Raw genomic sequence first — 10,322 nt, 5'->3', positions numbered from 1 at the left:
CAAATATTCTCATTCTATTTGCAATTCCCTTTCTAAATCAACAATTTTATGCATCATCAATTTTATAAATAGCCCTGGTTCTGAGACCTTTGATGATTAGCATGTTAATATTAACCTTGATAGTGCAGACTAGTTCCAAAATAAATCCATAACGCCCGTCCTCCAAAGGATCCTGGGCCCTGACCAATACTTCTGCCTCCTTCTACTGATTATGCCACTCTTCTGCTCTCACAGTCTTTGAAATCTTTCATCTTCTCAAATGTCTCACCTGCCACAACTTCCTACCCCTCACTCATTAGATGACCTCACTGCAGTGTTTATAGGCAAAAGCTGAAGAGTTCTGATGAGAATTCCTTGTTTTCATCATACTAAAAAGGCAGAAGTTATCTACCCATGTTTTCCTCTTCCATGTTATTGAAAGGGATGGCTAATTTCTCTGTTTGTACTAAGGATCTCATGCACACTTGTACCGAAACTCTACATAAATGTAAAATAGGAATTTTATCCTCGCAGGAGAGTCTAGCTCCAGGAAGCATCAAATGAAGGTTATGCTCTTGAGGAACAAAGCATATTTTAATTGGCTCTTTAGAATTAGTTTAAAAATACTCTAGGGAAGATACCTAATAAATATATTGTAAATCTTGCTACCTTGTTTTCATAAGATATGGTCCATTAACATTAACAGGTAGGTCATTTTCTACATTTGTTCACTAAAAATACAATTTGTGTGTGTGTGTGTGTGTGTGTGTGTGTGTGTGTGTGTGTAGAGATAAGTATTCCATCAATGGGGAAAACAAATATTTTCTCCAATTTCACTAGACTTTTCTATCCATATGTTAGTATTGCATTGACTCTCTACAATCAATTATATGTAAGCTCTTTTGATGTATACATGAGAACTAAATAAACAATGGCTTTAAGGTGGAATTTTTGGAGTAGAAATTTTTACAATCTTATGTTACTTTCAAAGAGAACTGAGAGAGAGTGGCTTGAGTTGGAAGCTAAGACCCCTTTTAAAAATTATCTGTGCATACCTAAACAATATTGTCATGAGTGGGTTAGTGGCACAAAAATGGGAACAAAAAAAATCCACACTTTCCCCAAATAGTAGAATTGCATATCTGCTGTTTAAATGCTGCATTCCTAGAAAGATCTTCTTTGAGTGGTCATCTAAAAGCATCCTACATTCATGTTTTCTTCACAGAAAAATGGTTTGCCTGAAATTGTATGTAACTTTTTCTGTGTGTTTAATCTCTGTTCCCTCTATTATAATGTGTGCTCTGCTCCCTCTATTATAATGTGTGCTCCCTGAGCTGGGAGACTTGTTTACTGTAGTAACCGCAGGAATTGGAACAGAAAGAAATGAAGCTATACAGTATACATGAGTAAACAGGCAGTGACATTACAAAGTGGAAAAAAACAAGTCTTCATTTTGTACCCTCTTAGCCATATATCAGATAGAAATTAATTTCTCTAGTTTAATCGTTCCTGAATAAAGGTAAGGCACACAGCTATGGGTCTTAATTGAAAATGCTTTGCTTTTCTTTCTTCATTTTGTATCTGAAACAATACAATATCAGAGCTGGAGGTATAATAAAGATCAGACTTCCTTTATTTATCCATTTGAAAGATGCAAATAACCTAGGGTTTTTGTATTTAATTTTCATTCCTTTGGATTTTTTGTTTCCTCACGAAGTTTGAATAAAATTACCAAATGTGGAGTACACCAAGAAGACAGGTATAAATGTAGGAATGAATAAACTTATGTATGTATACATGTATGGCAGAGAGAAATAGAGAATATGTATGTTTGTGTAAGTTATGTGGGTTTGATGTATAGAAAGATACAGATTAAAACAGACATATAGGGAGACAATGTTATGTAAAATTTCCGATGTGATTATTGAAACAAGAGAAGTAATTGTCACCTAGATAAATAGATGAATGAGCGAATGATAAATGGATGAAACAAATGCCAAATCTGAATCAGAGAGAAATCCTCACATTCTTTGTCACTTTCAGTTTCAAGAGATAAGAAGATGTTCTCCCCAAACCACACCATAGTGACAGAATTCATTCTCTTGGGACTGACAGACGACCCAGTGCTAGAGAAGATCCTGTTTGGGGTATTCCTTGCGATCTACCTAATCACACTGGCAGGCAACCTGTGCATGATCCTGCTGATCAGGACCAATTCCCACCTGCAAACACCCATGTATTTCTTCCTTGGCCACCTCTCCTTTGTAGACATTTGCTATTCTTCCAATGTTACTCCAAATATGCTGCACAATTTCCTCTCAGAACAGAAGACCATCTCCTACGCTGGATGCTTCACACAGTGTCTTCTCTTCATCGCCCTGGTGATCACTGAGTTTTACATCCTTGCTTCAATGGCATTGGATCGCTATGTAGCCATTTGCAGCCCTTTGCATTACAGTTCCAGGATGTCCAAGAACATCTGTGTCTGTCTGGTCACTATCCCTTACATGTATGGGTTTCTTAGTGGGTTCTCTCAGTCACTGCTAACCTTTCACTTATCCTTCTGTGGCTCCCTTGAAATCAATCATTTCTACTGCGCTGATCCTCCTCTTATCATGCTGGCCTGCTCTGACACCCGTGTCAAAAAGATGGCAATGTTTGTAGTTGCAGGCTTTAATCTCTCAAGCTCTCTCTTCATCATTCTTCTGTCCTATCTTTTCATTTTTGCAGCGATCTTCAGGATCCGTTCTGCTGAAGGCAGGCACAAAGCCTTTTCTACGTGTGCTTCCCACCTGACAATAGTCACTTTGTTTTATGGAACCCTCTTCTGCATGTACGTAAGGCCTCCATCAGAGAAGTCTGTAGAGGAGTCCAAAATAACTGCAGTCTTTTATACTTTTTTGAGCCCAATGCTGAACCCATTGATCTATAGCCTACGGAACACAGATGTAATCCTTGCCATGCAACAAATGATTAGGGGAAAATCCTTTCATAAAATTGCAGTTTAGGCTTGTGTTTATTTGCAGTCACGAATTGCTTGTGGAGTAACAAACTGGCTTTTGAAATGGAAAAACCTAGTGTAGTCGTGATTTATTTAACATCATGGACTGTCAGTAACCACTTTACTTTCTTATCCAAATGAAAACCTTGAAGATTGATTTCTTAGAAATAAAAGCCTTAATGTTGAGAAATTTAAAATGTTTTATTTGTCAGAAATTCTATGAAAATAAATTTTTTAGTATCTAATAATTCTATATGAAAATACTATGTTTACTTACTTGGGGGGTGGGTAAATTTTTAACTAACTTAGGCTGAGAGAAATTCTGAAAATTCATCTCCTTTGAATATGATGGTCCACAGAGCCATAATGAGGTTCAAGATAGGGTGGATAATTTTACACTTTTTAAAAAATGAAATTATTTCTACTTCAATATGGTGTCTTGAACAATAGCTCAGCTACCTTTGTGCTTATTGTAATCAATGTGCAAAAAATATAAATATATGGGTCACTGATACGTTAAATTTGCTGTAAGTGTTCCCCAAACCCATCTTGTAAATATCTTGAGAAGCTTCTTTTTTGTTCATATGATAATACTGGTTATCGTCCTTGATTCTGAAAATCAACTCTCAACACCTTTTTATGAGTTTCCAAGTGTATGGATCCAATTCTATCATCAAACTACTTTAACTGCATTCCAGTTATGTTTTCCAGTGCCGTACCTCTGACTTAGGACTAATTCAGTAGGAGTCAATAGGGTCTATTAACTGCCCTGTGCATACCCACAAATGTCTTGAAACAGTATACAAATAAATAGGGGTGTATATATGTTTCTGGAGGAAATACTCAGTGTTTATTTTGCTTCATGAAGCTTTCTGTGGCCCATTATTTTTAAAATAAGGGTGTTCTAGTAGTTCTTGAAGCTGCTATAGAGAAAATCAATCTCAGAGAGGCTACCTAAGGAGACACATTAATCCATGCATTATTAGTCAACCAGATGACTGCATATTGATACATATGTATTTAGCCCTAATAAATTGCCTCATATGTTTGGCATTTTAATATTTTGCACTCTGATATTAACTAACACCATACAGAATATGCTACAGAAAATGTCTGTATGATATCAACTACTATATCTACTATAAAGTGTTCAAATGGTTTTCCAGAATATTAAGCAGATGACTTGCAGTTTTTGTAAAATGGGGGCATATTCTTGAGTCTCATTTGATTAAGTCTGTTTCTAGCCAAATCCTCTTTCAGAAACAGTATCTGAAAAAGAAGGAAGGCAAATTTCGGTGACAAGAATTTAACAATTACATTTTAGCACTGTTTGTTTTTGTATTTGCTTGGTTTTGGCAATGATGGTGGGACAACAGAGGAAGGTCATCTGCAGAGACAACAATGAAGCAGAAAAGCTGGGAATTGAGTGACACAGAGTCCTCACTTCCTTTTTGAGGGCCAGCATCATTTCATCGGTGGGGTATTTCTTTATTTTATGAGAAATTTCCATCTATTAGGCAAAGCATTGTATTCCATTTCTGGCAAGCAGAATGGTCTCATATCCAGATTTGAAACCCTATTTGAAAATTGGATTTTAGAATGAGTGCAAAAAATACTCTATATTTGGCCTAAATAACTGTACGATTCCATTTATTTTCTAGTTATGAGAATTGCTCTGGCTTGCAGCAACCATTTTTAAACTTTGACATCCTTTTAGTCAAAATGACTGACCTGTTTCTAATTGATTTTTAATAAAATATTTTATTTATTTCTATTTGTGATTTAATTTTTTCCTTCTGCATGTCTTTGGGTAAAAGTCACCTCAGAAATTCTTTGGAGATAGGATAGAACATAAATCGACATGAATAAAAGTAATTATAAGAGTTGCAGTCACAGTGTAGTGCTGATTTTAGGAACACTTTATTTTAATCTTCATAAATGAAATAATGAGAGAATTATTATCTCCATTTACAACATTGGAGCCTGAGGCACGGAGAGATTAAATTTCTTGCCCAAAGTCATTTGGCCACTCAGTAGGACAAAAGCAGGTTTCTTGGTTTCAAATTCTCTCTCTTTCTAATTCATACTGTAGTTGTTATTAAAGAAATTCTCAAAACACTGCAAATGCTTGGTGGAATGTTGGAGATTATGAATTGATGAGATTATTGCTATAGATGAAATAGTGGTTATTATGTGATAGTTATATGTATCCTAAGAATAGCTAATGAGAATTTCCCTTGAAAATTCCGGTTAACATAATTTATAGGCATTATAATTAAAATTGTCTTAACGTCCATGTGAAGGGAGAAAATTTTGATATACAGAAGACATATATGCTATTTAGGCTGCATTTTATTAATATATTTTCCCAGTCGCAAAGGCATACATATTCATATTAATTAATTACCAGGTACAGACAAATATGAGGGAGTAAAATTTATGAGGGATCTGTCCTGTGACAAAGGATACATTTTCTTTATATTTTGTTACATTTCTTCTCAATAAGTTTATATGCGTACATGTTACTAAAATGCATCAAGCAAATGTGAAATCACTTATCATATACAAATTTGAACACTGATTTTCACTTGATATAATGTATGCACCTTTATATAGATTAAATATTTCTGATGAACATCATGTTGAATGTCATATAATAGTTAGATCATATGACCTTAATACAATAATAATACATATCAATTGTAGAAAACTGACTGAACCATATTGACATACATAAGACATAGAAGCAACATTTACTTATAATCACCTACCTGAAGAGAGCTGAACTCAGCATTCACTTGTGTTTTATTCCATTTGATTATCTTGCAAACCATGATTCCATCATATCAATGTATCTTAGTGTTTTTATGACTGATGTATCTGTGCATCTCTAATTGTTCCTTTTGTGTATGTTCCCAGAAGTGGAACTGCTGAATTAAATGTTTTCAATGCTTTTGAAACTCCTGCTAAATTTTTCTATGGGTAAATTTTTCTCCAGAAAGCTTCTAGCAACTTAAACCTGTACTAGTAATATTTGAGAATAATCATTTCACTATAACTCTATCAGTAGTAGGAGCTCTTGTTTATGGTTATTTGCTTCTTTGATGTCTCAAGGGAAGTCTTAGAAAATAATTCTGTTCTAATAAGCACAGAATAAAAATTGAAGCATATATTGAACAAATGAAGGCTACACATAAGGTTGATAATTTCTCTTCATGCTATTGCTGATAATTTCTTGCATGAATAATGTTTGTATTTCTATTTGGAAAAATGTGACCTTTTGCTTATTGCTGTTATGTAAGTTTTCCTCATCCTAAAATTGAAAAAACAAGCACTTATATTCATTGCAATATTTGATAGTGATATCAGGAATTATTTTAGATATAATACATTTTTGTACTGTGTTGTAATATTAAAAATTATCTTTTCCCTCTTATTTTTAACCAATTTCCTCCCACTATTTATTAAGCAATGCTTTGTTTTTCAACTGATTTGTGATGTCACCTTTATTATACCATAAGTGAATCTATTTCTGCCTATTTCCTCTTTATGTTTGGCCACAATATACATATATTTTAAACTAAATTCGTATGATTAGTGTACACTTAAAATATGTTTTAATTTCTGATGGAAAAATGTTATCTTCACTTTTCTCTTAGGAGACTGCAAATCATCTGATGATTGCTTTTAGATATCCAGTATTTTTAACCCATAAATTATGCATACTATTGTTCAATTTAGAAACTATATGCATACTTTATATATGCAAATATATATTTCAATGTGGCTATACATGAAATACTTAAACACTGTAAATTATTTGAAAAACAATGAAAACTATTTTCCTCTCTATGGGGGCCATAGGAAAACTGCTTATTGTTAAGTTTGTTTTCCAGAAAGGCAGGAAAACGTTGGTGGCCTGTGAGTAAGGAGAAAACACTTAACCTTGGTATATTAATTCTATCGATTCATTAACAACTTTATACAAACATTTATTTTTATACCATACCGGCGTTCATAATAAAACACTTTTTTTCAACAAATATCTCTAAATACAGATTCTTTTCTCTAACTATGCTGACTTTTTGCCAACAACTCCACCCAAAAGAGTTGACATGCCCACATATATTCTTCTGCTAGGAATCATTTCAAACACTGAAAAAACCCTATTAATTAGAATTAAAATAAATATTAAACATTTAAATAATCAGAGAAAAATTACTCTGTGCTTCCTAAGAATGGGAATACTTCACAGTAATACTGTTGCTTTAATTTGACAATAAAACTATTTAAAAATAAGACCCACCCTACAGTCTGGCAATGTATTTGTCACAAATAAGACAAAGTGGCACAATTACTGAAATATGTTATGTTAATATAAATCATTTGAAGCACTAAAACATGACCATATAAATAAATGTTGAATACTATACGTAGAAAATTGATTAAAATACAAAATGCTAAAATTAACGCAGAAAATAGTGGCAGCTAAAAACATGAAGTACAATACTGTTTATGTGTCTATATTTAAGACAGCTGAAAAAGTCTAGCACGTTCATACATTGGTTGATTAATGGTATAAAATTTTTCTAGAAATAAATACAATATTATTAATATTTTAAGGAGTCAAATGTTTCTATAATTTTATTCAGCTATTCCAAATTTAAGAATCTACTGAAGGCATAATTAGAAACTTGTGTGAAGAGTTTCATGGTGTTCATTTTATAATCAAGAAAAAGCAAACAAATGATGTTCGAAATACAAGTAGCTCCCACTTAGCACCGTACCATGTAACAGAAACCTTTCTATATGGCAAACGTGTCTTGTTTTGCATGGTTCTTACTTAGATATTACAAAATCTCAAAGTGAGGACTGCCTGCTTTGGATAACTGGTAAAGCACAGGCATCTACCAGATGGGGTAGAAGGTGTTTCTAAATAACTAGAATGTCATCAGCCTTGATCATGAAGGAAAGTGTAAAGTACAGTTTAATTTTTTTTTCTTAGAATGTTATACAGCTATTAAAGTGAGGATGTTCCTAGTTAAGAAAAAGGTAAATCATTTTGTGTAATATATTATGTGCAAAGACATATCCAATGCTACATATGGATATCTTGTAAAATATCAGGGATAAAGAGAAACAAAACTTATTAATAGCTATGTCCAAATTTTCCATGATAAGCAATTGTTGCTATTACATTGAGAAAATAAGCTAACAAAAACTTTGTATGCCCAGTTTAATTCAGATCTCAGGATATATAATTACAGGATGCTTATTTATAATAGTAGAATTTAAAAATAAAAGTAGGAAAAAGCAAGGAGTTAAAAACTTGTTGTAGAGCGTGATGGCAGAAGAGGAGGTGCTCAGTTCTGGTTTCCAGAACAGAATGACCAGTTAGCAACTTCTCACAGATAAGAATGCCTAGGTAAAAATTCCATAACCCAAGGGTGAGGTGGGGCACACTCTTGGAGCACAGAAACTGGGAAAAGTCATATTAGAAGTGTAAGGGGAGCAGTTTCACTTTGACTGTGTTGCTTCTTTCCCGACCAAACAGTGTCACACTGAAAGGGATTTCTTGGGCCTGTGTTCTCTAGTGGAGAAAAGAGAGCCCATGGCAGACATCCAACTTCCCTGTGTTCCAGGGCACTTCCCAAGGGGCCTAGTTCTGTCTAATCTTGTGGGGAATAATGGAGGAATTGGCAGGGCTTGACCCCTTATGGTCAGTTCATAACTACCTCCTTCTACAACCCATTCTGTATTCCCTTTACCTTCAGCAAGCACCTTAGCAGGACACGGTTTTTTACCTGGTGGAGTGACACAAATCTTCATTCCTGATGGGTCTGGGCCATTTGTAGTTTTGCCTGGATTGGGTTGTTGTAGTTTCTCACTGACCTTAATCACAGGACATGGTAATACTGTGACGTCCTATGGGATCTCCTGTATTCCACAAATACTCTTCCTTAACCTCCATTGTGGAGTAGTAGTTTGATTTCATCTTGATAGTCTGGGTCAGTCACCCCAGCCAACACTGTACCTCCCTTCTTAGCCTGTTGACTTAGAGGCAGGAAGAGCTCAAAGTGGCCAGGTGGCAAACTTATCTTCCAGTTTGATGGAATCATCTTTCTGTCTTCTGGTGGCAAAGTTCCTCCCTCCGGAACGAAGACCTCTAGGCCCACAGAACATAATGTCACAGAAACAGGAAGGAAAATTTTGCTAGTGGGTCAGTAGAGGTGATGGTAAGTGGCACCACTTCCACTTCCACCCCTTGATTCCTGCATTCTTGGATCCTGGCTATGGAAGAAACAGTACCACATATTGGATGCCTACTCAGAGCATACAAAGACTTCTGGAGAAATTTGCCCCAGGCCTGCATTTTTTTTTTTTTTTTTTGTAAAATGAAGTCCTGCTGTGTCTTCCAGAGGCCTATAGTGCAGTGGCACGATCTTGGGTCACTGCAACCTCTGCCTCCCAGGTTCATGCGATTCTCTTGTCTCAGCCTCCCGAATAGCTGGGATTACAGGCATGTGCCACCACGGCTGGCTAACTTTTGTATTTTTAGTATGGATGAGGGTTCACCATGTTGGCTAGGCTGGTCTCGAACTCCTGACCTCAAGTGATCCACCCGCTTCAGCCTCCCAAAGTGCTGGGATTACAGGCATGAGCCACCGTGCCCAGCCCCTGTAATAAAGTATCACCTAGTTGTTGTAACTGTTACTTCAAAAGGCTTTTCCACCTTTCTATCAATCCATCTGCTTTAGGATAATGGGAAACATGGTAAGACAAGTATATCCCATGAGCATGAGCCCACTGTCTTATTCTTTAGCTGTAAAATGAGTGCCTTGGTCAGAGGCAATGGTCTGTGGAATACCATGACAGTGGATAAGGCATTCTGGGAGTCCACGAATGGTAATCTTGGCAGAAGCATTGCATGAGAGATAGGTAAACCTATATCCAGAGGAAGTGTCTAATTTGACTAATCCACTCTAGAATTCTAATCACCCAAAGCTTTTGGATTCCTCCCTCTACATTAAACCAGGGAAGATCTGGCATTTCAAGGTCGCTCACAGTAGGCCATCCTTTGATCCATATTTCAGCTAATAAACTATTAGAACATTTTTTAACTCCCTGATTTGTAACATTGAGTGCAGAATCTCTGCTTAGTGGGCCCATATCAATACATTCAGCCTGATCCAACTTTATATTCCTCCCACCATTATCCCACACCCTTAATATCCATTCCTACACCTGTTCTCCAGAATTCTGCTTATATAAACTAGAAAACTCAAGCAGCTCTTTTAGGGTGTAGCACACCTCCTTGTAGACTTTTGGCTTACACCAACTA

The 10,322-nt window shown here is 35.6% G+C and overlaps 1 protein-coding gene across 1 annotated transcript; it reads left to right on the top strand.

Annotated features, from left to right (window-relative positions):
• Window positions 1–667: 667 nt before the first annotated feature.
• On the top strand, window positions 668–6,306 carry OR5M1 (olfactory receptor family 5 subfamily M member 1). The gene is made up of 2 exons (NM_001004740.2): window positions 668–685; window positions 2,023–6,306. Exon 2 carries the CDS (start codon window positions 2,040–2,042, stop codon window positions 2,985–2,987), a length of 948 nt encoding a protein of 315 aa, NP_001004740.1. The 5' UTR covers window positions 668–685; window positions 2,023–2,039; the 3' UTR covers window positions 2,988–6,306.
• Window positions 6,307–10,322: the final 4,016 nt, after the last annotated feature.

The sequence above is a fragment of the Homo sapiens genome, chromosome 11 (assembly GCF_000001405.40).
Source record: "Homo sapiens chromosome 11, GRCh38.p14 Primary Assembly".
NCBI lineage: Eukaryota > Metazoa > Chordata > Mammalia > Primates > Hominidae > Homo > Homo sapiens.
This window is presented reverse-complemented; position numbering and strand designations above follow the sequence as displayed.